The 26,805-nt window shown below is 53.0% G+C and overlaps 2 protein-coding genes across 6 annotated transcripts in view, besides 13 other annotated features; both read right to left on the reverse strand.

Moving 5' to 3' along the window:
* The window catches only part of TRPV3 (transient receptor potential cation channel subfamily V member 3), a 47,311-nt gene extending 33,244 nt beyond the window's left edge, over positions 1–14,067 (reverse strand). For both annotated transcript variants that reach the window (NM_145068.4, NM_001258205.2), the window contains exons 1-4: positions 13,931–14,067; positions 10,987–11,107; positions 1,422–1,526; positions 834–920 (exon numbers count right to left, since the gene is read on the reverse strand). In NM_145068.4, the coding sequence (NP_659505.1) occupies positions 834–920; positions 1,422–1,526; positions 10,987–11,105 (311 nt within the window). In that variant the 5' untranslated portion in view covers positions 11,106–11,107; positions 13,931–14,067. The remainder of the gene's footprint in view (positions 1–833; positions 921–1,421; positions 1,527–10,986; positions 11,108–13,930) is intronic.
* Positions 10,340–10,841: an enhancer, noted in NCBI's record as "H3K4me1 hESC enhancer chr17:3457379-3457880 (GRCh37/hg19 assembly coordinates)". NCBI's record gives its function as "activates a minimal SCP1, AML or CMV promoter by ChIP-STARR-seq in primed H9 embryonic stem cells {active_cell/tissue: H9 hESC(primed)}" and the evidence as "EXISTENCE:reporter gene assay evidence [ECO:0000049][PMID:30033119]".
* Positions 13,026–13,085: a silencer, noted in NCBI's record as "silent region_8013". NCBI's record gives its function as "represses an Ori minimal core promoter by ATAC-STARR-seq in GM12878 lymphoblastoid cells {active_cell/tissue: GM12878}" and the evidence as "EXISTENCE:reporter gene assay evidence [ECO:0000049][PMID:35858748]".
* Positions 14,267–15,083: an enhancer, noted in NCBI's record as "H3K4me1 hESC enhancer chr17:3461306-3462122 (GRCh37/hg19 assembly coordinates)". NCBI's record gives its function as "activates a minimal SCP1, AML or CMV promoter by ChIP-STARR-seq in primed H9 embryonic stem cells {active_cell/tissue: H9 hESC(primed)}" and the evidence as "EXISTENCE:reporter gene assay evidence [ECO:0000049][PMID:30033119]".
* Positions 14,267–15,898: a biological region, named in NCBI's record as "H3K4me1 hESC enhancers GRCh37_chr17:3461306-3462122 and GRCh37_chr17:3462123-3462937".
* Positions 14,726–14,785: an enhancer, noted in NCBI's record as "active region_11504". NCBI's record gives its function as "activates an Ori minimal core promoter by ATAC-STARR-seq in GM12878 lymphoblastoid cells {active_cell/tissue: GM12878}" and the evidence as "EXISTENCE:reporter gene assay evidence [ECO:0000049][PMID:35858748]".
* Positions 14,866–14,915: an enhancer, noted in NCBI's record as "active region_11505". NCBI's record gives its function as "activates an Ori minimal core promoter by ATAC-STARR-seq in GM12878 lymphoblastoid cells {active_cell/tissue: GM12878}" and the evidence as "EXISTENCE:reporter gene assay evidence [ECO:0000049][PMID:35858748]".
* Positions 14,946–15,175: an enhancer, noted in NCBI's record as "active region_11506". NCBI's record gives its function as "activates an Ori minimal core promoter by ATAC-STARR-seq in GM12878 lymphoblastoid cells {active_cell/tissue: GM12878}" and the evidence as "EXISTENCE:reporter gene assay evidence [ECO:0000049][PMID:35858748]".
* Positions 15,084–15,898: an enhancer, noted in NCBI's record as "H3K4me1 hESC enhancer chr17:3462123-3462937 (GRCh37/hg19 assembly coordinates)". NCBI's record gives its function as "activates a minimal SCP1, AML or CMV promoter by ChIP-STARR-seq in primed H9 embryonic stem cells {active_cell/tissue: H9 hESC(primed)}" and the evidence as "EXISTENCE:reporter gene assay evidence [ECO:0000049][PMID:30033119]".
* Positions 15,386–15,445: an enhancer, noted in NCBI's record as "active region_11507". NCBI's record gives its function as "activates an Ori minimal core promoter by ATAC-STARR-seq in GM12878 lymphoblastoid cells {active_cell/tissue: GM12878}" and the evidence as "EXISTENCE:reporter gene assay evidence [ECO:0000049][PMID:35858748]".
* Positions 15,516–15,575: an enhancer, noted in NCBI's record as "active region_11508". NCBI's record gives its function as "activates an Ori minimal core promoter by ATAC-STARR-seq in GM12878 lymphoblastoid cells {active_cell/tissue: GM12878}" and the evidence as "EXISTENCE:reporter gene assay evidence [ECO:0000049][PMID:35858748]".
* Positions 19,130–19,329: an enhancer, noted in NCBI's record as "active region_11509". NCBI's record gives its function as "activates an Ori minimal core promoter by ATAC-STARR-seq in GM12878 lymphoblastoid cells {active_cell/tissue: GM12878}" and the evidence as "EXISTENCE:reporter gene assay evidence [ECO:0000049][PMID:35858748]".
* Positions 19,550–19,599: an enhancer, noted in NCBI's record as "active region_11510". NCBI's record gives its function as "activates an Ori minimal core promoter by ATAC-STARR-seq in GM12878 lymphoblastoid cells {active_cell/tissue: GM12878}" and the evidence as "EXISTENCE:reporter gene assay evidence [ECO:0000049][PMID:35858748]".
* Positions 19,895–20,693: an enhancer, noted in NCBI's record as "NANOG-H3K27ac-H3K4me1 hESC enhancer chr17:3466934-3467732 (GRCh37/hg19 assembly coordinates)". NCBI's record gives its function as "activates a minimal SCP1, AML or CMV promoter by ChIP-STARR-seq in primed H9 embryonic stem cells {active_cell/tissue: H9 hESC(primed)}" and the evidence as "EXISTENCE:reporter gene assay evidence [ECO:0000049][PMID:30033119]".
* The window catches only part of TRPV1 (transient receptor potential cation channel subfamily V member 1), a 43,966-nt gene continuing 38,861 nt past the window's right edge, over positions 21,701–26,805 (reverse strand). For all 4 annotated transcript variants that reach the window (NM_080704.4, NM_018727.5, NM_080705.4 and 1 more), the window contains one exon: positions 21,701–23,242. In NM_080704.4, the coding sequence (NP_542435.2) occupies positions 23,070–23,242 (173 nt within the window). In that variant the 3' untranslated portion in view covers positions 21,701–23,069. The remainder of the gene's footprint in view (positions 23,243–26,805) is intronic.

The following is a 26,805-nucleotide window of genomic DNA, read 5'->3' on the forward strand; positions in this document are numbered from 1 at the left end:
GTCACAATGCCTGCAAACTCCTGGGCTCTGTGTGGACCCATCAGGCTCCCCTTGTAATCCATATGCAATCACATTTTGTCAAAATACCTACATTTGGATGCATGAAGTAATGATCAGGAAGGATCTATGCCTATTAAAGACATTACCTTGAAAATATAAGATTTCATATTTTATGTTGTTTGAACTTTTAAAATCTATCCTTCCCTGTCCTCCCACTCCAGATAAGCAACCATGGTAACGCGTTGATGTCTCCTTTTGTTTCTTTTTTCTTTTTTTTATTTGAGACAGAGTCTTGCTCTGTCACCCAGGCTGGAGTACAGTGACACAATCTCAGCTCACTACAACCTCCACCTCCAGGGTGCAAGCAATTCTCCTGCCTCAGCCTCCTCAGTAGCTGGGATTACAGGCATGCGCCACCACGCCCGGCTAAGTTTTGTATTTTTAGTAGAGACGGGGTTTCACCATGTTGGTCAGGCTTGTCTTGAACTCCTGACCTCGTGATCCTCCTGCCGCAGCCTCCCAAAGTGCTGGGATGACAGGTATGAGCCCTGCACCTGGCTATGTATTTTTAGTTCACATAAATGGTGTCGTGCTACAGTTCTTTTTCCACTGCATCCTGCTGTTTGAATGTTTCATAACAAATGGGTTTTATAGAATTCAATACTCCACTCCTTCCCCGTAAACGTCCTACATGCCATGGACCCATGACTCCACTTGTCCCAATCCCCAGGAATGGTGGATTCTTTCTCCTTCCTGCAGGGCCCCGGATCCTGTCTCTCTGGCACCCCCAGCCTGGGTGGGCACAGTGGGTGGAGGGGGAGGGGCAGACTTACCTGGGGCTGTTGGGATTGGATGGGGTCTCTGTCACATCATCCTGAGGAGACTGGGGGGAGTCCATGTCATCACAGTTACCAGAGATGCTGGAGGTGTTGGCAGGGGGAACAGAGAGGGTTTTAAAGTTTTAAAATGGGCCGGGTGAGGTGGCTCATGCATGTAATCCCAGCACTTTGGGAGGCCGAGGCAGGTGGATCACTTGAGGTCAGGAGTTCGAGACCAGCCTGGCCAACATGGTGAAACTAAACTGTCTCTACTAAATTGTCTCTACTAAAAATACAACAACTAGCCAGGCGTGGTGGCATGTGCCTGTAATCCCAGCTACTTGGGAGGCTGAGGCAGGAGAATCGCTTAAACCTGGGAGGTGGAGGCTGCAGTGAGCTGAGATTGGGCCACTGCACTCCAGCCTGGGCAACAGAGCGACATTCCATCTCAAAAAGATAAATAATAATAATAAAGTTTTATAATAGACAGTGGTAGCATGCCACAGCCAGGCCTGGCCCCGTGACCCAGGGCAAGTCACTGGCCACATGCTGGAGCTGAGGGCTGGGCCCAGGGCAAGGGGTTGGGCTGGGGCCCGTACTCACCACTGCCGGATGTTGGAATCCATGGGCTTGGAGAAGACAGGAGGAGAGGTCTTGGCAACTGTGGGGTTGGGTTCAAACCCTTCTATCTCCAGGAAGAAGTGTGCACTGAGGGAACACGGAGGAAGCCTGTTAGGGCCGAGCCAGGCAGAGCCTGTCTGCCTGTGTCCTGCCTCCTGGCCCCAGAGGGTGCCCCCATGCTGAGCACACACCCTGGCCAGCTCTGAGCCCAAATGGCCTTGCCCAGCCCTCCCGGGAGCCCTCGGAGATGGACACTGTCATTATCACCTACGTTTCACAGATGGTCTCCAGGGAGCTGCGAGTCAAGTGTGAAACTAAAGAAAAGGACTGAGGCGAACCCAATTGATGTAGAGGTTTATTTTGCCAAGGTTGAGGACACACCCGGGAAGAAGACACACAAGCCCCAGTAGGATCTGTGGCCCACACTTCCTCCTCTGAACAAGATTCTGAGGGCCTCAATATTTAAAGGTGAAAAGTGGGCAGGAGAGAAAGGAGGAAAGAAAAAAAAAAGAGGGAGCAGGCCGGGTGCAGGGGCTATTATCCCAGCACCCTGGGAGGCTGAGGCGGGCAGATCACCTGAGGTAAGGAGTTTGAGACCAGCCTGGCCAACATGGCGAAACTCTGTTTCTACTTAAAATGCAAAAAAAAAAAAAAAAGTAGCTGGGCATGATGGCAGGCACCTGTAACCCCAGCTACTCGGGAGGCTGAGACAGGAGAATTGCTTGAACCTGGGAGGTGGAGGCTGCAGTGAGCCGAGACCGCGCCACTGCACTCCAGGCTGCGTGACAGAGCAGGACTCCGTCTCAAAAAAAAAAAAAAAAAAGAAAGAAAACAGGGAGCACAGGGCCACGTTCTTGTGAGGCTTCGATTCTGCTTACTGAGCACGTGTTGCACGTGAAAAGGGGTGGGTAGTGGAAACAGTCAATTATGGATTCATCTTGCGCTCAGTAAATCTGCACTTTATGGAAGACAAACATAGACGCATGGTGGCTCACACCTGTAATCCCAGCACTTTGGAAGGCCTAGGCGGGCGGATCATCTGAGGTCGGGAGTTCGAGACCAGCCTGACCAATATGGAGAAACCCCGTCTCTACAAAAAATACAAAAATTAGACAGGCGTCGTGGTGCATGCCTGTAGTCCCAGCTACTTGGGAGGCTGAGGCAGGAAAAGTGCTTGAACCCGGGAGGTGGAGGTTGCAGTGAGCCGAGATCATGCCACTGCACTCCAGTCTGGGCGACAGAGCGAGACTCTATCTCAAAAAACAAACAAACCAACAAAAACATAGACGCATAGGGGAAGCAGTCAGATATGCATTTGTCTCAGTGGGGTCGGGTGAGGGAGGACAATTTCTAGTCTCCTCTTGTCCTGTAGTGTCAATTAGCTGCTAATTTACAATGTCAAGGTGAGGAAGGCCCCCCTTGGAGACATGTGGCTTCTATCTGTAGATAAAGCAACTTGCCCAAGGTCACGCAGCAGATAGGTAGCAAAGTCCAGATTCAAAGCTGGGCTAGGCCAGGTGTGGTGGCTCATGCCTGTAATCCCAGCCCTCTGGGAGGTCAAAGTGGGCAGATCAGTTGAGGTCAGGAGTTTGAGGCCAATGCGGCAAAACCCTGTGTCTACTAAACATACAAAATTAGCTGGGTGTGGTGGTATGCGCCTGTAATCCCAGCTATTCAGGAGGCTGAGGCAGAAGAATTGCTTGAAACCGGGAGGCAGAGGTTGCGGTGAGTCAAGATCGTGCTACTGCACTCCAGCCTGAGTAACAGAGCGGGACTCCTTCTCAAAAAAAAAAAACTGGGTCTGGGTGACTCTCCTTGCTAGAAATACTGGATGGCTGAACCCGGGTCTCTACTGCGGGTGGCCTAACACTTGAGCCAGGTTGCCCTGTCTGCAGCCACCTCCAGGTACAAAGGACACCTCAAGGATGGGGAAGATGGTACTGGGAGCTAGGTTTTCCCGTCACCACCTACCCACCCTCAGGCCTCAGGTCTGAAGTCAGACGCCTTCTGAGGGGCCGTCCCTAGACTCTGAGATCCACGCGGGCCTTCCTGGCTCTTGAGGGAGAGGGAGATGGCTGGAGTTATACTTGCCCCCGCTGATCAGCACTTGTGCTGTTTGTCACAGCAGAAAATGGGCTGAAAATGGCTGATCTAGGCTGGGTGCAGTGGCCCAAGTCTGTAATCCCAGCACTTTGAGAGCTAGAGGCAGGAGGGTCACTTGAGGTCGGGAGTTTGAGACCAGCCTCGCCAACATGGTGAAACCCCATGTCTACTAAAAATACAAAAAGTAGCCAGGCGTGGTGGCACGCACCTGTAATCCCATCTACGTGGGAGGCTGAGGCAGGAGAATCACTTGGACCTGGGAGGTGGAGGTTGCAGTGAGCCAAGATCGCACCATTGCACTCCAGGCTGGGTGACAGAGGGAGACTCCTCTAGAAAAAAAATGGCTGATCTAGAGCAGGGAGGACTTGAGGGGTCAGAGGACAGGGCTGGGAATTCCCTGTGGAGAAGGAAGCCATCTCAGGCGGTGGAGGGGGGCAGCGGAGGGGAGGGGCAGGGCAAGGGCAGCTTTCTCCTTGGGCTGGGAGAAGAGAGACAGAAGCCCCCGGCCCTGTGGCCTGGCTGAGCCCCAGCGAAGGAGAGACGCTGGCCTATAAGAAGCAAGACATACACCCGTGATGTGACTCCCAGCCAGACACACCGCCAGCTCCACCTTCAGACACACCCACAAACACAGGCACCCATGTTCTTGGAAACCACAATCACACGCACAGAGAAGAGCCTTCTGGCTGACGACAACCCGGACTGTGAGGATCAGGCTGAGGGTGACCTCGGTGGCAGCAACTCTCCTGCCCTGCAGCTGCTACAGGACAACTGCAGCCTCTGTGGCCTGGCCAGGGACTGTGGCCTCCTGACCAGCAGGGCCTCTCCAGGCACACGGGGCTCCTAAAGCACCTTTGCTGCCTCCTTCATTCTAAGGCCCAGAAGGGACCAACATGCCCCTTCCTTCCTCACAAGACTACAGAAGAGCTCCCAAAGGGCAGTCTCAGCTGTGTCACATTCAGGAGGGAGGGTAGCAGGAAAGGGACTGTGGCCCCATTCTGCAGACAAGAGAACTGAGGCTCAGTATGGAGAAGCAGCTCATCCATGGTCACCCCCCAGGGTAAAAGTCAAGGTGGTCAAAGAACCTGCTTCCCGACATCCAGGCTCATAGTCCACACTGCAATCCATGCTTCTTTGCTCTCGCCTTAGCAATCTGAGCCTTCTTCCAGCTAAACTAGCTCCAGGGGTTGGCCACAAAGGGAGGTTGCTTGGCATGGCCACTTCCTGGGGTGGGGCAAGCAGGAGAGAGACCCCGGGCTTTCCCAAGGAATCTCTGCCCTTTCCTCCAGCACAGACAAACCTAGAAGGCTCAGCGCTAATCCAGAAATGGGGATACATGGGGTGGAGGGCAGTACTGGCTGCCAGTCTCACCTGCCTCACCTGACAGTCTCCTGCCCACCAAAAGGAACCTTCTGATCTGAGCTCCCAATCAAACCCTTCTTCCAAAAGGGAAGACAAAGGGAGGATTTAAACCCTTGCCTGGGAACCTAAAGCCTGGGTTCTAGTCCAGCTGTGTCTCTGCCTCCTGTATGACCCCAGATGATCACTTGCCATCTCTGGGCCAGTCATCTTCACCTGAATGGATGATGGTTGGGCCAGATGATCCCTAAGGTCTGGACCCTGGAGCCAGGGTAGCTCTGGGATCGTCCTCTTATGGAATTCCAGCTGAAGTGGGCATCGGAGGTCAACCAGTCTGATTGCCACTTCCCTGCGGCCCTGCAGTGCCCCAGAACTTTTGCCCTAAAGTAGTCGCTCCGCAACAACAGCCTGACCTAGAAGCTCCAAACACATTTGCTAGTGGTTCAGCCCCAAAACATCCTGGTTGAGATTTGCCAAATTATCTCCAGACAGAGCTCCAAGCCCTATACCCACAGCTTTTTCCCCAAGAATGTTGGTCCAGTCTGTCCCCTGCTCCCCATCCCGCCCTACCTGTCTGCATTCCTCAGTGTTGCATTTACTCAACAAATATTTATTGAGCATCTACAATGTGCCAGGCACTGTTTCTGCAGCTGAGGATACAGTAGTGAACAAGTGGACAAAATTTCCATCCCTTCCAGAGCTGCTGTTCCAGTGAGTTGGTCAGAACTGACCAAGAAATAGTACAATGAGGCCACGACTTTCCACACTCTGGACAATACACCATCCTACAGCTATACATTCCTCAATGGCAGAGACTACAGTTGAATTATCCTTGATTCCCAACACTGGTCCTAACACTCAGAAGACTTCATCAGTGAATGAGTGGGAGGATAGATAATGAGTGAAAGATGAATGAGTGGAAGGAAGGATGGTTGGTTGTATAGATGCCCAGATAAATGGATGAATGAATAATGGAGAGATGATAGAATGAGGGATGGGTGGATGATGGATGGATGGATGGACAGATGATGGAATGGGTAGATGAGTGGATGGATGATGGATGGATGGATGGATGGATGGATGGAGGATGGATGGATGGATAGGTGGATGGATGGATGGATAGATGATGCGTAGATGAGTGAATGGATGATGGATGGATTGATGAATAAATGATTGATGGATGGATGAATAGATGATTGATGGGTGAATAAATGACAGATATATGTATGTATGGATGGATGGATGGAGGATGGGATGGGTAGATGAGTGGATGGTTGATGGATGGATGGACAGATGATGTATGGATGGATGGATGGATGATAGGTAGATGAGTGGATAGATGATGGATGGATGGATGGATGAATAAATGATGGATGGATGGATGAATAGATGACGGATGGGTGAATAAATGATGGATGGATGGATGGATGGATAATAAGTAATTGGGAGGGTAGGATAGGTGGACAGGACCAATAAGCAGATAAACCAACATAACCTTAAACCAAAATGTTGGGAGGTTGCATCCTTCAGGTGACTTCCACTGTGCTCTCAGGTGCTTAAAGCCTTTACCTCTCCTAAGCCTCATCCCCTTCCCAATCTCTCATAAGAAGATGAGGAGCAGCCCTTTGTCTCTGCCCTACCTCCCTACCTACTCAAGGCCTTCTCCCAGAGTCCACAGGGGCCCAAAGATGGTCCAGAAAGCCATATCACAAGAGTGTGTATCCACTTCAGACCTGAGGCTGAGAGCCCGAGGGAAAGGAAGAAGCATTTCCTCATCACTCCATAGTGTCCTCGTGCTGCCAAGGGCTGTGCTGGGCTACCCGGCTGCTTGCTCACCAGCTCACCCACTCCTTCTCTCATTTTCCTGCCTGCTCTTTTTTTTTTTTTTTTTTTTTTGAGATGGAGTCTCGCTCTGTCGCCTAGGCTGGAGTGCAGTGGCGTGATCTCAGCTCACTGCAAGCTCTGCCTCCCGGGTTCATGCCATTCTCCTGCCTCAGCCTCCCCAGTAGCTGGGACTACAGGCGCCCGCCACCACACCTGGCTAATTTTTTGTATTTTTAGTAGAGACAGGGTTTCACCGTGTTAGCCAGGATGGTCTTGATCTCCTGACCTCATGATCCACCCTCCTCGGCCTCCCAAAGTGCTGGGATTACAGGCATGAGCCACCGCACCCGGCCTCCTGCCTGCTCTTTTATTGACTCATCTGCTTACTCAAAAGCTACTAATATCCTCTGTGTAAGAAACTCAGGGAGACCGAAGGAAAGAGATGAACCTTCCAGGGACTCCATGCTCAGTGATCTCGACCAGAGCTAAGACATCATCCCAATGACCATGTCAACCTCTTCAGAGAGGGGCTGCGCTATGGGAGCTCAGAGGAAGAGAAGATCCTTCCAGTTGAAGACAGGGATCAGGGAGGGCTCTGTGCTCTGTTGGGGTGGGATTTGGTCTGGGTCTTGACACCAGTCTGGTTTGGGAAAAGCCCCGAAGGCAGAACAGCATGAGAAAGCCTCAGGAGAAGGGGAGGTCTATGTCTGGAGAAGGAAGCTCTTGGCATCTGGAGCACCAGATGTGAGAAGACAGTGATAAGCGCAGGGCTGGGGAGGACCCCAACTGTTGGGCAAAGACCTAACTCCTGGGGCAGAGCAGCTGCTAGACCGTGAAGGTCTGTCCTGCGCCCGCCCTACTGGTCACTGCACACACTACATCCCACCCAGCGTCATAAGCACATGGCAAGGCCTTGGCCCAGTGACACCCTGGCTCCAGGCCTGCTGTAGGTGCTGTTTGTTTCTTCCTTCCTTCTGTCCAGACCAAAGGGCACCAGCTGGGTGTGGTTGACCCAGGTGAGCAGATAGCTCTATACCATTTCTACTGCATTTCTGTTCCTTAAAGTCGAAGAACTGTCCCTGAACAGCCCAGGGCTGGGAAGGAGATTGTCCATCCATTTGCTTTGTGCCAAGAAATGCCCAAGTGTTCTGGGCTCTGCAAGGCCAGTGTCTCCACAGCCTCCATCAGTCTGTATCTCTGTCTCTGGGCATCACCTTTTCCAGGGTCCAGGAAGGAAGCCAAGATGACAGCTGCTCTCAGGGAATGGCACGATGGTTCAGGAGCACTCCCAGGTCCAAAAGTGTCTCCTATCTCCAGACTCCCTGGTGCCTTTGATTCCACCATTAGGCCTGTTTCCTTAGGGGTCAGCATTGCCCTCTTTCTTCACCTGTAATTTATTCTTTTTTTTTTTTTTTTTTTTTTTTTTTTTGGAGATGGAATCTTGCTATGTCACCCAGGCTAGAGTGCAGTGGCACAATCTCAGCTCACTGCAACTTCCGCCTCCCAAATTCAAGCAATTCTCCTGCCTCAGCCTCCCAAGTAGCTGGGATTACAGGTGCCTACCACAGCATCCAGCTAATTTTTGTATTTTTTTTTAGTAGAAATGGGGTTTCACCATGTTGGCCAGGCTACTCTCAAACTCCTGACCTTGTGATCCACCCGCCTCAGCCTCCCAAAGTGCTGGGATTACAGGCGTGAGCCACCACGCCTGGCCTTTTCTTTTCTTTTCTTTTCTTTTTTGAGACAAGAGTTTTGCTCTGTCGCCCAGGCTGGAGTGCAGTGGCACAATCTTGGCTCACTGCAACCTCCACCTCCTGGGTTCAAGCAATTCTCCTGCCTCAGCCTCCCAAGTAACTGGGACTATAGGCACACGCCACCACACCCGGCTAATTTTTGTATTTTTAGTAGAGACAGGATTTCACCACGTTGGCCAGGCTGGTCTCAAACTCCTGACCTCAAATGATCCACCCGCCTCGGCCTCCCAAAGTGCTGGGATTACAGGCGTGAGCCACCGCGCCCGGCCTTTTAATTTATTCTTTTCTGTTTCTCTCTGGGCCCAAGTCCCCGACTCAGCTCTGAGGGGGGTGCCCAAACCTTCACATGAGGGTCCTCAGAGGGCCTTTGGGGCAGAGAAGTGGACAGCAATTTAGGAGACATGCCAAGCTCAGCCCTTGGCTGGGCGGAGGAGGCTTTGCAGAGCTGAGCCTGGAGCTAAATCTGTGAATGGGGGGGATGGGCTCAGAGAAGGCAGCCTGACGGTTCCTGCTGAGGAAAGGACGTGGGATTTTCCCAAAACTCTATCCTCATTTTTTTCCGGAGGTCCAAACCTCCCCTGGACAAGTGAGAGCGGATGGGAAGGGGCAGGAGAGCCAGGGAGGTGGTCCTTGCCAGCTTAGCTCAGGGATGTCTCTGCCCTTTCCTGGACAAGCCCACCCAGACCCAGGCTGCCCCCATGACCCCACACGACACCTGTCTGGCTCCTTCTCCACCAGTTTTCCCTTTTGCCTTCCAAGATGGAGCCTCCACCTGGGTGTCTCTCAGGCACCTCCCACCCAACATTTCACAACTGAATTTGGCTCATTCCTCCTGACCTGGATCTTCTCCTCTGATGCGCCATGTCAGATGGCCCCGCCATCCCTCCAGGCCCTCCCACCGGGACTCCTCCTTCTCCTTTACCTCCCGTGGCTGGTCCTGCAGACCCCATGATACTGGCACCTGTCTGTGCTGCCCCCTCCTCTTTATCCGTGACCACCCAGGCTCAGACATCACCACCTATCACCTGGGCTTCCCAAAGGCCTCCTCATGGTCTCCCTGCTGTCAGCCTCTCCTCTAATCCGTCATCCACGCAGATCCCCCAGAGTCACCTCTCCAGAAGGCACATCTCACCATGCCCTCCCTCCCACAAAAAATCCCTCCATGGCTCCCCACTGCCCTGAGGATTATCCAAGTTCCTTGACTGACCCCCAGGACTCAGCTCCAGTGGGACTCGCCTCCCCAAAGACTCCTCTACTGGCCGGTACTTCAGCTACACCAGACTCCTCACCTCAGTGGCCCCACTCTGAGCCATGGCTCTCATGTCCCTCTGCCCAGATGCACTTTTTCCTTCCTCTCCACATCCTCTCTAGCACCACCTCCTCCAGGAAGTCCCCTGAGACTGCCTACAGGATCAGAATAACCTGCCACTCTTCAGGCCCCACGGGGCTAGTTCACCTCTCTGTGGTCACTTCCCACTCTCTCCTCGACTCCCCTTTCACCAGACTGTGAGCAGACGTGGGCATTTTTCTCTCCATGTCCCAAACTCCTTATCCTGAGCCCAACCCTGGGGCTGGTACACAGGACACCTCAATGATTATAGCTCCAACTAACAGAGGGGAAGCACCAAGCTCAGCCCTGGCCCAAAGGGGGCCTGGGATACAGGCAGAGGAGGCAGGGCCACCCCGGGTTCAAGGGACGCACAGGTGAAGTGGGCTGGGGGACAGCGTGAGAGGCACCCAATGAGCTGGGGGTGCAGAATCTATAATGGAGGCAGCGGAGGGGCGGGATGGGTGACCCTAGAGAGGTCCTTTCTCTGCTCCAGGTCTCCTCCACGTCCCCAGCGAAGAAGTAAAGCTGATCATCCCAGCCCTGCCCAGTTCCCAGGGGCTCCGTGGAGTGATGAGGACAATGATGATGGTGAAGGTCACAGAAACACTCTCAATGCCAACACATGCTGAGCGCTGACCGCGTGCCAGGCGCTGCACTGAGCACTTTGTTGACTTGATCCCAATTAACCATCATCCTATAGTTGGTGCCATTGCCGGTGTCCCCATTCCAAAGGTGGAGTTCAAGAGCTTGAATAACCCGGCTGGGTGCAGAGTGGATGGAAAGCCATGGGTGTGTGTGTGGAAAACGTGCCCAACAGAGGCTCCGGGTCACCTGGAACTTCCAGCCAGCATTTTGCTCCTCGTCTCAAGGGTGGCTCCAGCCATCCCTCACCTCCCTCAGGAGCCCTCCTGACTGCTCCTGCCTCAGCACCCCCGATCCCTCCAAGGAGGCTTCCCTAATTGTGCCAGTCACACTGACTACCCCAGCTCAGCCCCCTGAGTGTGCTGTGCTCCCCACCGCACCATCCCCTAGTCATACCTCGCCGGGCACCGGGCCACCCCGGGCGAGACTGAGAGTCTCAGGTCTCCCCAAGGCAAGGGCTCCCTGGGGGGGTGCCAGGCCCCCACTCGTGCCCCTCACAGTGCCGCAGTCCGTGTCCCGAGCTCTCCAAACCCACCTCTTCTTTGTGGGGGTGATCTCCGCCGGCCTCTTCTCTGGCAGGATGGCAGGGTTCCCACTGGGGGCAGCAACTCTCTTGCCCATGAGAGGCACCATCTCCTTGGGGTGGGCTTTCATGGCTGGAATACAACCACAGGGCAGATGCTCAGGCCGGGGGGACAGGGGGAGCTTCAGGGAGTTTAGGGGCCCCATGTGGCTGCATCCAGCTCCCGTTCACACTACCTGGAACTGGAAGCTCACTCCTCCCTTCCCAGTTCACCAATCCTTCTTCAAGGACAGAGAAGCTGTCCCCAAAGCTTCCCCAGCTCCCTGCTCTAGCACCCCCAAATGCTATGGTCCTAGGAGAGCCCAGCAGGGTGTCCCAGTAGAGACCACCATGCCCCTGTCCTCTCTCATGACACCCTCCCCAGCCAACCAGTCCCCAGGTGGACCCCTGAACTAGTGGAGAGTCCAGCAGGGTGTCCCGGTAGAGACCACCATGCCCCTGTCCTCTCTCATGACACCCTCTCCAGCTGACCAGTCCCAGGCGGACTCCTAAGCACTAGCTCTGCTTTCCTGAGGTCCCTCTCCGATTTTGTGATGAGCAGCTCTCCAAGAGTTTTGACCTCCACAGAGCAAGATTATCACCTCCTTTGCTCTAGATGTTATGCTCCTAGTAACACAGCCTTAAGCTCCTCAGGTGTTTTGGATTCCTCAGTGTCCAGGTGGTCTCTGCAGCCAACACACCGATCATCTCCCCCGCCCACCCAAAGCTGTGTGTAACCAGCTTATGGCTGCCTGTCCATTAGATTCCCCTCTCACCTGCAGGGAGCAGCTGAGTCCCCTTGCCCCAGGCAGAGGAGGCCGACCCCCCAGTCCAGACCTGCTTTACTGATGCTCAATGTGGGCTGGGCACCGTGCTGAGCTCCGAGGGGTGTGGGGATTGGGGAAGGGGGACTGATACATCTTCCAACAAGACCAGGATAGACCGTACAGGCTGCTGTGTGGAGGAAGGACAAGCCGGGCAGAGGACAGAGCCTGGGAGGGTCAGGAGTGGCAGGAGTGGGGGGAGCTGCTGTGGCCAGAGAACCTGGGGAGCTCATGGGGACCCTGCCAGCGAAAGCCATGCGGGCAGGCTGGGCCCTGTATAGTCCTCGAACACCGCATAAGAGCTGTGGCTTCAGGCAGGCACAGTGGCTCACACCTGTAATCCCAGCACTTTGGGAGGCCAAGGTGGGCAGATTGCCTGAGCTCAGGAGTTCAAGACCAGCCTGGGCAACATGGTGAAACCCCGTCTCTACTAAAATACAAAAAATTAGCCGGGCATGGTGGTACATGCCTGTAGTCCCAGCTAGTCGGGAGGCTGAGGCAGGAGAATCACTTGAATCCAGGAGGCAGAGGTTGGATTGAGCCGAGATTGTGCCACTGCACTCCAGCCTGGGCGACAGAGCGAGACTCCGTCTCAAAAAAAATGAAAAAAAAAAAAAATAAAGTTTTTATTAAACATAAAAAAGGAGCTATGGCTGACCCCTGGGGGCAGCTGGGAGTTGGGTGCAGAGGCTCTGGGTTACATAGGAGAGCGCGGGCTGCGTTGGGGGGTGGGGGAGACCAGAAGCCAGGGGCCAGGAGGAGGCTGCTGCAGGGGCCATAGGGACGGGGAAGGGGGCCAGCTGGCCACAGAGGGATGACATGGGCGGGGAAAGGGCTGTGTGGACAGGTGGTGACTGTGTGGTCAGGGGGTGCCACTCTCAGCTTGAATCATCCTCAGGGGACTCACCTGGCGACACATAGGTGGGGGCAGGAAGACGGATTTCTGTAAGAAGAACCCAGCTGGGTGGGGTGGAGCTGGGGCCACTGGTGATCCTACCCCAATAGGAAAGCTTCCTGGAGGAAGTTTCCGGAGCCAGGTGTCATCAGGCTGGAGAGAGTCCCCCGCCCTCCAACTCAAAGGGAGCAGGCTCAGGATGGAGGAGGCATCGGCGAGGGAGAGCTTTGGCCCTGGAGCGTAGGCAACCTTGAGGCCAGGCAGGTGGAGTAGCCCACAGAGAGGGACTCCTGGGCACCCGGCCCTCCCGTGTCCAGTCACGGCCTGATGAGGATGGGCAGCCTCTATGGCTTTCCCCATCCCCACGTGGCCTTTGGTGGACTAAAAGGCTGGGATGCACCGAGCGTGAAGGAGACAGAAGAAGGGCACGTCTCTTGCCCCTCCCAGGGCCTCTGGTTTCCTTTCTGAGAAGTGGGCTGAATGGTCCCCAAGGACTCTGTGGCCCTGAGAGCTGGTTGCTCTCTCTCTTCTCTGGGCCCGAGAATGTGGCCTGCCCTGGGCCTCTGGGGCAGGAGAGGCTCAGGGAACTCTGGACTAGGGCCGCAGCAGCTATCATTAGCTCCCTGAGTCACCCCGTAAACCCCACGTTCTCACCTGCTGGACTCTCTTGTTGCCCTGGCCCTCCCTCTCTCTCCCAATCCCTGACACTGATTGAAATGGCCTTTCCCGGGCGACAGACCAGGCCGCGGAGCCACAGCTGCTGACTCAGCACCTGTGAGATGCCTGGGCCCCGTCTGTCTCCCACGGTGGGGCCACCTCCTCCCATCCTGAACTCCCATCACAATCCTGCCCCAGAAAGCCACCTCCCTGGGTCAGCCTCGGGAGGCAGGAGCCTCTCCTCTGCCCCCAGCAGTGGTGAGATTGAGATGTCCCTCCCCAGGATTCCCAAACCTCAGGGGAATGTTCCTGAGTCTGTAAGGACCTATATTCTCACACATCCCTACAGCCAAGAGTGCAGCCAAGAGTGCCTCCCTACAGCCAAGAGTGGGCCCCTGGCTGGGGCCCAAGCTCCTTCCAACCCTCCTCCCAAGGCCTATTGGCCAAGGGCAGACATGGCCCAGAGGACCTCTGAGGGCCACGCTCTGGGCTCCCCAGGGGCCTTGGAGATCACCAGCTGCCTTGTGCACAGAAGACTCACCTGGTGAGGTTCTGGGTGGTCGTGGCAACCCTTGCCCTGAGATCACCGCATGTCTGGGGCCCAAGGCCCCCGGGTGGGACTGTGGCTGAGGCGGCGGGAAGCTCTCATTGCAGGCAGAGGGATGGCTGGAATGAGGCGTCAGAGGCAGAACTGGCTGAGCCACCTGCCCTCGGCGCCAGGCAGGCCACGCCCACCAGCCACAGCTGCAGCACCCGCCCACCCACGTGGCCCGTGTGAGTCACCCCCACACCCACACAGCAGCCTCATCCCCACCGGAGAAAAGGCAGGGGAGGCCGCAGGTGCCAAGATCGAAGTTGTGGGTCCAACTCCTCCCTCTCTGGCATTCCATGCTGGGCAGGGACTGCCCATCTCAGGCCTATTTTTCCAACTAGGAAATGGGAATGATAACATCTACTTTCCAAGGGAGCCGTGAAGAGCCAAAGAGATCACAGAGGTGGGAGGGCCTAGTGAAGAGTCAAGCGCTCTGCTCTGTCCCCTGGGAGGGAAGACCGCAGCCCAGGCCTAGCCTGGTTGACCTCAGGGTGGCCAGCCCCAAGACTCGGCACTTGTTCTCAAAAGTCGGTTCCTGGGATCAGGTCTCTCGGGGACGGAAGTCCCCATTTAATGCTGTCCACCAGCAGTCACGCATCATGGCCCTTAGTGTCAGCCTCACCCCTTCCTGGCTGAATGACCTTAGCAGGTCATTTCTCCGAGCCTCAGTCTCCTCATCTGTGAAACGTGCTTCATAAACCCACTTTGCAAGGTTATCGTGGGGCTTCAACAAGTACAAGTAGAAAGGGCCAGAACAAGGCCCAGGGCACGGCAAGAACTCAATAAACAATGTCAGCTCTTAGCTATGATTGCTTTTGTCATCTCAATGTATTCTCCCAGCAACTGCCCAGGTTGCCCTTCTCCAAGGCCAGGGCGTCATAGAAGGAATCGGTGCCCTCTCTCCTGGCCCAGGCTGCAGCTGTGAAGTGGGTGGAGTGAGTCAGGATGGCCGTGTGTGTCTCGCGTCACTCAGGAACTGCACACCTGCTCCCCGGGGCGAGATGTGGACAAGACACAGCTGGGACAGAGCAGGAAGTCTCTGCTGACGCGGCCGCAGCTGGCGCCTGATGGGCAGGGAAATCCCCAGCTGTGAGCCTCTCAATCCCTCATCATCACAACCTGCCTGGCCTGGGGAGGAGGCAGGAGGCAGGTGAGGCTTCTAGGCCACGGGAGAGCAGGACCTATGGCCGGTAAGGGGCAGACCAGACTTGAGGGTGTGGGTGAAGCAGGAGACCGCTTCTGCCGTTGAAGTCAGGGGGTCCTGAAGTTCCCACTCACAATCTGAAATCTCATGACTGTGCCTGAAACTCGACCGGAAAAGCCCGATCTGGGGTTGAGCACGGCCTCCGGCCACTAGCTTACTCACCCTCTCCCGACCCAGCCCCGCGCCCTCCCTGTTTGCCTCTGGCGGCTCAGACGCCTGGGGAGGAAGCTGCTGCCAAATGTCAGTGCTTCCATTTTGCTCGTGTTCATAACTTTTCTCAGAGGGCAGGTGGGAGCTGGTGAAAAAGGCCCCTGTCTCCCACCCAGAGGTGTGCCCTGTGCCCAGCAAGGAAGAAGGGGACCCCCGCTCTGCTATGAGAGGCAGCAGGAGCCAGGTCACCCAGTGGAGTCACAGTCACTACTTAGGAAGCCCGAGCCCATCCTAATCCCACCCCAAACACACAGAAGCAGCAGCTTCAGCCCCTTAGATGGTCTATATTCAACCCCATTTAACCCAGCACATGGTGAGAGCCCACGGGAGAGGCCGTGGCAAGGGCGCAGGTGGACAACGAGGGATTCAGAACTGGAGAAGGCCGTGTCCACCCTCGTGGGCCACAGGGGACACAGGCTCAGGCAGGAACCATGACCCACCATGTGGGTCATCAGGACAAAATGGGCTGAGACCCCCAAGGCGGGAGGAAGTCCCTGTGATGGGGTGTAGGGGATGAGTTCGGGAAAGAGGGAGCATCTGCCTGGACTTGGAAGGAGGGAAGAGGCCACAACATGGTGAAACCCCGTCTCTACTAAAAATACAAAATTAGCGGGGTGAGGTGCTGCACACTGTAGTCCCAGCTATTCGGGAGGCTGAGGCAGGAGAATTGCTTGAACCTAGGAGGCAGAGGTTGCAGTGAGCCGAGACTGCACCACTGTACAGCCTGGGCAACAGAGCGAGACTCCGTTTCCAAAAAAAAAAAAAAAAAAGAAAGAAAGAAAAAAGAAAAAGAATGGAAAAGTGAAAAGGAATATGATCAGAACAAAAATATAACATGCTATAGTGTAAATGCATACAACACATTGGTCAATGCTATTAAGTTTAAATTAAACACACACACACACACAGAGAGAAACAGAAAAAAAGATAAAAGATAAAATGACCACTTCATACTCTTTAGAATGGCCCAAATCCAAAATGTTGACAGCACCAGCAAATGCTGGTGAGGACATGGAGCAACAGGAACTCTCGGCCATCACTGGTGGGAATGTAAAACGGTGCAGCCACTTTGAAAGACACTTTGGTGGTTTCTTACAAAACTAAACATACTCTTACCATTCAATCCAGCAATCACACTCTTTGGTGTTTATTCAAAGAAGCTGAAAACTTATGCCCACACAAAAATTGCCCATAGATATTTATAGCAACTTTACTTATAATTGCCAAAACTTGGAAGCAACCAAAATGTCCTTCAGTAGGTGAATGGATAAAGAGTGGTACATCCGGCCAGGCGTGGTGGCTCACGCCTGTAATCCCAGCACTTTGGGAGGCGAAGGCAGGTGGATTGCTTGAGGCCAGCAGTTCAAGACCTGGCCTGGGCAACATGACGAAACCCCATCTCTACAAAAAATACAAAAAAATTTGCTGGGCATGGTGGTGGGTGCCTGTAGTCCCAGCTACTCGGGAGGCTGAGGCAGGAGAATGGCGTGAACCTGGGAGGCGGAGCTTGCAGTGAGCCGAGGTTGTACCGCTGCACTCCAGGCTGGGCGACAGAGCAAGACTCCGTCTCAAAAAAAAAAAAAAAAAAAAAAAAAAAAAAGAGTGCTACATCCAAGAGAATGGAATGTTATCCTCCAATAAAAGAAATGAGCTCTCATGCCACGAAAAGACCTGGAGGAAACTCTAATGCATAATACTAAGTACAATAAATCAATCTGAAAAGGCTATGTATTGTATTGATGATGCCAACTACATGACATGCTGGAAAAGGCAGTAAAAGATCAGTGGCTGGCCAGGCACGGTGGCTCACATCTGTAATCCCAGTATTTGAGGAGGCCAAGGCAGGTGGATTGCTTGAGGCCAGGAGCTCAAGACCTGGCCTGGGCAACATGACGAAACCCCATCCCTACAAAAAATACAAAAATGAGCCAGGCGTGGTGGCTCTCACCTATAGTCGCAGCTACTCAGGAGGCTGAGGTGGGAGGATCTTTGAGCCCAGGAGGTCGAGGCTGCAGTGAGCCGTGATTGCACCACTGCACTTCAGCCTGGGCGACAGAGCAAAACTCCGTCTCAGAAAAAAAAAAAAAAAAAAAGGGTCAGTGTTGGCCGGGCGCGGTGGCTCACGCCTGTAATCTCAGCACGTTGGGAGGCCGAGGCGGGCGGACCGCGAGGTCAGGAGATCGAGACCATCCTGGCTAACACAGTGAAACCCCGTCTCTACTAAAAATACAAAAAATTAGCCAGGCGTGGTGGCGGGTGCCTGTAGTCCCAGCTACTCGGGAGGCTGAGGCAGGAGAATGGCATGAACCTGGGAGATGGAGCTTGCAGTGAGCCAAGATCACACCACTGCACTCCAGCCTGGGTGACAGAGCGAGACTCCGTCGCAAAAAAAAAAAAAGGTCGGTGTTGCCAGGAGCTGGAGAGAGGGACGGATTAATAGGTGGAGGATGGAGGATTTTTAGGCAATAAAATTCCTCTGTGTGATACTATAATGATAAACGCAGGTCATACATTTGTCAAAACCCATGGAATCTATAACCCCAAGAGTGACCCCAGTGGACTTTGTTTTTTGTATTTTGGTTTCTTTTTTTTTTTTTTTTGAGACGGAGTCACTCTGTCGCCCTGACTGGAGTAAAGTGACATGACCTCGGCTCACCACAACCTCTGCCTCCCGGGTTCAAGTGATTCTCCTGCCTCAGCCTCCCGAGTAGCTGGGGTGACAGACGTGCGTCACCACACCTGGCTAATTTTTGTATTTTTAGTAGAGACGGGGTTTCACCGTGTTAGCCAGGCTGGTCTCAAACTCCTGACCTCAGGTGATCCGCCCGCCTCAGCCTCCCAAAGTACTGGGATTACAGGCATGAGCTGGACTTTGGATGATAATGATGTATCAATGTCAACTCACTGATTGTAACAATGTACCACTCTGGGGCAGGATGGCAGTAGCTGGGGAGGTTGTGGGCACAGCAGGTGTATGAGAACTTCCTATATATTTTTTGTGTCAATTTTGCTGTGAACCTAAAGTTGCTCGAAAAATAAAGCTGGCCAAGCCCTGTGGCTGGCACCGCAATGCCAGTACTTTGTGGGGCCAAGGCGGGAGGACTGCTTGAGGCCAGGAGTTCAAGACCAGCCTGAGCAACATAGCAAGACCACATCTCTGCACGGGGAAAAAAAAATTGCCAGGCGTGGTGGCTCACGCTTGTAGACCCAGCTACTCAGGAGGCTAAGGCAGGAGGATCGCTCGAGCTCAAGAGTTTGAGGCTGCATTGAGCCATGACCACACCACTGTGCTCCCACCTGGGCAAGAGAGCAAGACCCTGTCTCAAAAAAATAAAATTAAAATAAAGCTTATTAATTTTTTAAAAAAGAAAGACATATGAATTGCAGGTATATCCTTCCTTAAACAATCTCAGGTTTCCAATCTAATAACAAAAAATTTCTATCATTAGTTTTGCAAAAGTACAACCACAGGATCCCTTCCAGCTCTGAGTAAATTTGAAAGCTGATCCAGGCTGGGCACGGTGGCTCACACCTGTAATCCCAGTACTTTGGGAAACCAAGGCAGCTGGATCACTTGAGGTCAGGAGTTCAAGACCAGCCCCGCCAACATGGTGAAACCCCATTTCTACTAAAACTACAAAAATTAGCCAGGCGTGGTGGCAGGCACCTGTCATCCAGCTACTAAAGAGGCTGAGGCAGGGGAATCCCTTGAACCCAGAAGGCAGAGGTTGCAGTGAGCTGAGATCATGCCACTGCACTCCAGCCTGGGTGACAGAGCAAGACTCTGTCTCAAAAAACAAAACAAAACAAAAAGCTGATCCAATTTGCAGAAGTTTGCAGCTGTCTGACACCCACACATTTTCTAAGAAAGGCCTACAGGTAAAGCATGGAGCCCCAGGCCCACAGCAGGAAGCGAGAAGCCCTCCCACCTCCCTCTGGCCCAGGATAGGCTGGCATGCCCCAGCACATTCTCTGCCAGGCAGCCTGACACAGCAGTTAAGAGCCAGGCTTTGGAGTCAGACTGCCTGGGGTCAAACCTAGGCAACGTGTTTACTGGCTGTGCAACCTTACTCACTGTTGGAACCTTGATTTTCTCATCTATAAAAGGGAACTAATAATAGCTTCTTCACGAGCTGTTAGGAGACTTAAAGGGAGATGCACATGGAGCACCTTCATAAACACTCCCCACATCCCGGCTGTCGGCCTCCCTCCTCCAGGCTCCAGGCTCACTTGCCATAGTCACATGCAGGCAACTGGGGCTCCTCCGTGGCGCCTCCTATGTGGAGGCAGACATGATGCTAGAGAACAGGGAGGAGGGATCCCAGTATTTTCTCCCAAAACACCTCTCCTGGTAGGGCCCAAGCCTCAGCCTCAGCCAAAGTTCATCCTTTCATGAACCAACATCCAATAATTCCACAACTGAACAACTCATTCTACACTCCGCAGATACTAACACAACCTGCCCAGTCTGGAACAGATCTCTCTTTCAGAGTATCTGTTTCTTTTTTTTTTTTCACAATGTGTTTATTTTTTATCTTTTTTTTTTTAATTTATTTTTTTATTGATCATTCTTGGGTGTTTCTCACAGAGGGGGATTTGGCAGGGTCATAGGACGATAGTGGAGGGAAGGTCAGCAGATAAACAAGTGAACAAAGGTCTCTGGTTTTCCTAGGCAGAGGACCCTGCGGCCTTCCGCAGTGTTTGTGTCTCTGGGTACTTGAGATTAGGGAGTGGTGATGACTCTTAACGAGCATGCTGCCTTCAAGCATCTGTTTAACAAAGCACATCTTGCACCGCCCTTAATCCATTTAACCCTGAGTGGACACAGCACATGTTTCAGAGAGCACAGGGTTGGGGGTAAGGTCACAGATCAACAGGATCCCAAGGCAGAAGAATTTTTCTTAGTACAGAACAAAATGAAGTCTCCCATGTCTACTTCTTTCTACGCAGACACGGCAACCATCCGATTTCTCAATCTTTTCCCCACCTTTCCCCCTTTTCTATTCCACAAAACCGCCATTGTCATCATGGCCCGTTCTCAATGAGCTGTTGGGCACACCTCCCAGACGGGGTGGTGGCCGGGCAGAGGGGCTCCTCACTTCCCAGTAGGGGCGGCCAGGCAGAGGCGCCCCTCACCTCCCGGACGGGGCGGCTGGCCTGGCGGTGGGTGACCCCCACCTCCTTCCTGGACGGGGTGGCTGCCGGGCGGAGACGCTCCTCACTTCCCAGTAGGGGCAGCTGCCGGGTGGAGGGGCTCCTCACTTCTCAGACGGGGCGGCTGGGCAGAGACGCTCCTCACCTCCCAGACGGGGTCGTGGCCGGGCAGAGGCGCTCCTCACATCCCAGATGGGGCGGCGGGGCAGAGGCGCTCCCCACATCTCAGACGATGGGCGGCCGGGCGGAGACAGTCCTCACTTTCCAGACGGGGCAGCCAGGCAGAGGGGCTCCTCACATCCCAGACGATGGGCGGCCAGGCAGAGGCTGCAAGCTTTGCACTTTGGGAGGCCAAGGCAGGCGGCTGGGAGGTGGAGGTTGTAGTGAGCCGAGATCACGCCACTGCACTCCAGCCTGGGCACCATTGAGCACTGAGTGAACCAGACACCGTCTGCAATCCCGGCACCTCGGGAGGCCGAGGCTGGCGGATCACTCGCGGTTAGGAGCTGGAGACCAGCCCGGCCAACACAGCGAAACCCGTCTCCACCAAAAAAATACGAAAACCAGTCAGGCGTGGCGGCGCGCGCCTGCAATCGCAGGCACTGGGCAGGCTGAGGCAGGAGAATCAGGCAGGGAGGTTGCAGTGAGCCGAGATGGCAGCAGTACAGTCCAGCTTCGGCTCGGCATGAGAGGGAGACCGTGGAAAGAGAGGGAGAGGGAGACCATCGGGAGAGGGAGACCATGGGGAGAGGGAGAGGGAGAGGGAGAGGGAGAGGGAGAGGGAGAGCAGAGTAGAGTATCTGTTTCTTAAGCTCTATTCTACAAAGGAAGAGTCAGCAAACTCTTCTGTAAAGGGCCAGATAGTATGTTTTTTATATTTTAGGTAAGCTTTTTATATTTTAGGTAAGCTTATATTTTAGGCTTTGCAAACTATTTGGTCTCTGTTGCAACTATTCCCTTCTGCATTATAGCAGGAATGCAACCATAGGAATGTACACACACGTACACACACACACACACAAACATGCATGCATGCACACACCCACACACACACCCCCATGTGTATACACACGCATCCACAAGCAGCCTACACAGAGCCAATTAGCTATGCCAGCCCATTTCCTGCCACAAACTTTACACTTGACACGATATATATGTATACATATCTGTTTATTTGAGGATGCCAGTATGGATGGAGTGGAAGCATGTGCCATTGCGGAGAAGCAGGACTGGGGTTCCTAGAAATGGAAGATCTTTCAAACATTCTTACCAGGTACCTTTGGGATGTGGTTCTGTAGTTTTAACCTGCACAGCAATTGAGCTGATCTTCTGGAGACTGTGATTGATCGTAAGGAAGGATGAAGAAGGCACTGCTGCAACAGCTTGATTCTGCCAGAGCTGGGAGTGGGACAGCCTCCCCCATCTTCTCCAGGGAGGAAACACCAACACCCCCAAACCACCCGGGCAGGTAAGAGGAGCAAGCACGGCACAGAGAGGAAGGGCCTCTGCATTTTCCATCAAAGGAAGAGTTTGTTCCCAAAGGTGTTTTCCTGGGCTTCATTTACTTTTGCTCCTAATAATATAAAATCAAAGAAGGCCGAGCGCAGCGGCTCACACCTGTAATCCCAGCACTTTGGGAGGCCAAGGCGGGCAGATCACCTGAGGTCAAGAGTTCGAGACCAGCCTGGCCAACATGGTGAAACCCCGTCTCTATTAAAAATACAAAAATTAGCCGGGCGTGGTAGTGCTCACCTGTAATCCAAGCTACTTGGGAGACTGAAGCAGAAGAATCGCTTGAACCCGGGAGGCAGAAGTTGCAGTGAGCCAAGATCACACCACTGCACTCCAGCCTGGGCAACAAGAGTGAAACTCTGTCTCACAGAAAAAAAAAAAAAGAATAAAATCAAAGAAAACAGCCAGGTGTGGAGGCTCACACCTGTAATCCCAGCACTTTGGGAGGCCGAGGTGGGCGGATCACCTGAGGTCAGGAGTTCGAGACCAGCCTGGCCAACATGGCGAAACCCCATATCTATTAAAAAAATACAAAAAATTAGCCAGACATGGTGGCACGTGCCTGTAATCCCAGCTACTTGGGAAGCCGAGGCAGGAGAATTGCTGGAATCCAGGAGGCGGAGGTTGCAGGGAGCCAAAATTGTGCCACTGCATTCCAGCCTGGGTGAGAAGAGTGAAATTCTGTCTCAAAAAAAAGAATAAAATCAAAGAAAACAAGGGCCTAACATGTCCCAGTAGAGACTGACCATCCAAACTGTTTAGTAAAGTGAGTAAAAACCTGAAAGTCTGTTAGGAGATTCACTTGGGGACAGTGACGGTTGGATGTACATCACTCCCCATGCTTCCAAGAACGCTTCCCACAGCTTGTCCAGCACAGATTTGGGAACATGCTGGGCAGGCACAGACCAGGCCAGGCTGCTGACAGAGCACTGGTGTTCCCTCAGCAGCCCCCCGTGGCAACGGGGTCTCCTAAGGCCCAGTGTTGACAGTGCTGTCTGCGTGACGTCCTCACTTCTCCCCGGAAGCGGCAGGACTCTTGAAGACCTCAGCGTCCTCTGGCTTCAGAGACCCTGAAAACTGTCGCAGATAAACTTCCTCGGGCTGAGCAGACTGCCTATCTCGAGCACTTGCCTCTCTTAAAAGGGGGACCAGGGCAAAGTTCTTCCAGTGTCTGCCTGAAACTGAAGGGTAACACTATTACTACCTTGGATGCAACAAAACAAACATTCACTTCTTGGCCTCCCAAGTCTCCAGATAAAAGGAGGTCCAAGACAGGCACGATGGCTCATGCCTGTAATCCCAGCACTTTGGGAGGCCGAGGCAGGTGGATCACCTGAGGTCAGGAGTTCAAGACCAGCCCGGACAACATGGTGAAACCCCATCTCTACTAAAAATACAAAAAAAAAAAAAAAAATTGGCCGGGCATAGTGGCACATGCCTGTAACCCCAGTACTTGGGAGGCTGAGGCAGGAGAATCACTTGAACCTGGGAGGCACAGGCTGCAGTGAGCCGAGATCGTGCCACTGCACTCCAGCCTGGGCGAAAAGAGCAAAACTCCGTCTCAAAAAAAAAAAAAAAAAAAAAAGAAGAAGAAGAAGAAAGAAAGAAAGAAAAAACGAGGCCCAGGCATGCGAGTGCTTCCTGAGGCACCTGGATCGGTGCAATGTCCTCCTCCCTCAACTACTCAAAGAGCCTCATGCACTCTCGCTGTTCCTTAAATTCTCTTCCTCCATCCCACCCCGACTTGCTTGCAGCCTCAGGAGAGCCCATCGCCTGCCCCTCTCGGCCTCCATCTCCTCCCTGCCCCAGCGGGAGGGAGAGAGGGTCTCCACAGAGCAACGCCGAGGCCTGTCCTGTGAGTGGCTCAACACCAGGGCAGCTCTGGGTGACGAGCACCAGCCAAAGAGGCAGGATCTGGGGTCCAGGCCCACTGGGTGACAGCCTGGGCGACAGAACAAGATTCTGTCTCAAAAAAAAAAAAAAGAAAAAAATTATAAAGGTGACATCAGGCAACCTCCAACCATCCCCCATCCCTGCCCCAGTTAACATGGGTGTGTATACCCCTGCCACTGGGTCAATGTCTTTATAAATATCACAGTGAATGTGCAGTGTTGTAAACCGCCAACACTGTCATGCAAACATAATACAAATCAACTGCCAAGTGAAATAGCAAATCTTGTCAAAGATGTAGGATGTCACTAAATCAACAAGAGTGACATTGAAAAACTACTCAAGGCCGGGCGCGGTGGCTCACGCCTGTAATCCCAGCACTGTGGGAGGCCGAGGCGGGCGGATCACGAGGTCAGGAGATCGAGACCATCCTGGCTAACATGGTGAAACCCCGTCTCTACTAAAAATACAAAAAATTAGCCGGGCGTAGTGGCGGGCGCCTGTAGTCCCAGCTACTCGGGAGGCTGAAGCAGGAGAATGGCGTGAACCCGGGAGGTGGAGCTTGCAGTGAGCCAAGATTGCGCCACTGCACTCCAGCCTGGGTGACAGAGCCAGACTCCGTCTCAAAAAAAAAAAAAAAAGAAAAGAAAAGAAAAACTACTCAAATCACACGCAAAGCTATCTTTCAATAGCTCTCTGGCAAAGTTAGACCAGTTAACAACTGACAAAGAGATCATCAATAAGCATTATTACAGGATGCAGGGATTGCTTCCAACTAAACTCACAGGAAAATCACACGATCGCAGGAGGCCTGTGGAAAAACCAATGGAACCCTCGAGCAGTTTTCTAAAAATGAGCCTTTGATAAAATAGATTTTCGCTTCCAGCTATAATGGAGTATCTAGTACTGGGCTAGCCATCGTGCTGTCAACGATCACAAAATAGGCAACATACAGGCAGCAAACGTTTTTCAGAGATAGGACATCAGGCAGTGAAAAACGGCAGTCCCTCAAATAACACCAACTTAGCAGCTAAAGATTTTTTAAAATTAAACATTAAAAAAAGGCAAGGCACGGTGGCTCGCACCTGTCATCCCAACACTTTGGGAGACCAAGGTGCGCAGATCACCTGAGATCAGGAGTTCGAGACCAGCCTGGCCAACACGGTGAAGCCCTGTCTCTACTAAAAATACAAAAATTAGCCAGGTGTACACATATACACCGTGGAATACTATGCAGCCATAACAAAATGATGAGTTCATGTCCTTTGTAGGGACATGGGTGAAGCTGGAAACCATCATTCTCAGCAAACTATTGCAAGGACAAAAAACGAAACACCACATGTTCTCACTCATAGGTGGGAATTGAACAATGAGAACACTCAGACACAGGAAGGGGGACATCACACACCGGGGCCTGTTGTGGGGTTGGGGGAGTGGGGAGGGACAGCATTAGAAGATATACCTAATGTAAATGACGAGTTAATGGGTGCAGCACACCAACATGGCACATGTATACATATGTAACAAACCTGCACGTTGTGCACATGTACCCTAGAACTTAAAGTATAATAAAAAAAAAAATTAGCCGGGTATAGTGGCAGGCGCCTGTAGTCCCAGGTACTCAGGAGGCTGAGGTGGGAGGATCACTTGAACCCAGAAGGCGGAGGTTGCAGTGAGCCAAGATCGTGCCACTGCACTCCAGCCTGGGCAACACAGCAAGACTCCATCTCAAAAATAAAATAAAATAAATAAAAACTGCAATTCCCAAGAGAAGTGAAATTCACAAGGGGAGCCCTGTGATCTCCCTAACTTTCTGCCTAGGGACATTTCCCCAACTACAACGCGGTGAGCTGCAGTCTAAGAAGAGCATGGAATTGCCTTTGAGTTAAAGAAGAAGAAATCAAAAGCTGGGCAGCGGAAGCAGCTAGAATCTGTGGATCAGAGCACAGGGGAAGAGGAGGAAGGATTCATGGGGGTGGAAGCCCAGAAGTCTTTGGGGCAGATGAGTTCCCCACAGGTCCTTGCTAAGAGCTGAGCTGTGCTAGCTCATGGTGTGACTGCATGAGGGTGATCAGAGAGTGGCTCAGAGTATTTAAAGGGTGTTAAGAAGGTCTCTGGGCCTCTGAGGCCCCCAGTACTACTCAACCTTTAACGTCTCTGTCCCACTTTCATAAAGATAGAAAACAGAATAGGGGCCAAGGGGTTAGGGGCCAGGGGCCAAGTGGTCAGGGAGGAGGGGCCAAGGGGTCAGGGAGGAGGGGCCAAGGGGTCAGGGAGGAGGGGCCAAGCGGTCAGGGAGGAGGGGCCAAGCGGTCAGGGAGGAGGGGCCAAGCGGTCAGGAAGGAGGGGTCATGGAGTTGTTTTAAGGGCACAGAGTTTCCGTGTGGGATGATTAAAATGTTCTGGAAAAAGGCCCGGCATGGTGGCTCACACCTGTCATCCCAGCACTTTGGGATGACCTGAGGTCAGGAGACCAACCTGGCCAACATGGTGAAAACCCGTTTCTACTATAAAAATACAAAAATGAGCCGGGCGTGGTGGCAGGCACCTGTAATCCCAGCTACTCGGGAGACTGAGGCAGGAGAATCGCTTGAACCCGGGAGGCGGAGGGTGCAGTAAACCCAGATCACGCCACTGCACTCCAGCCTGGGCAACAGAGTGAGACTCCATCTCAGGAAAAAAAAAAAAAAAAGTTCTGGAAATAGATAGTGGTGAGTGTTGTACAATAATGTAAATGTACTTAATGACACTAAACTGTACACTTCAAAAGGATTTAAATGGCAAGTTTTAGGAGATAGATATTTTACCACAATTTTTTACAATTAAATACAAAGTAATTCAAAAACAAAGTGTT

The sequence above is a fragment of the Homo sapiens genome, chromosome 17 (assembly GCF_000001405.40).
Source record: "Homo sapiens chromosome 17, GRCh38.p14 Primary Assembly".
In the NCBI taxonomy this organism is placed as follows: Eukaryota; Metazoa; Chordata; class Mammalia; order Primates; family Hominidae; genus Homo; species Homo sapiens.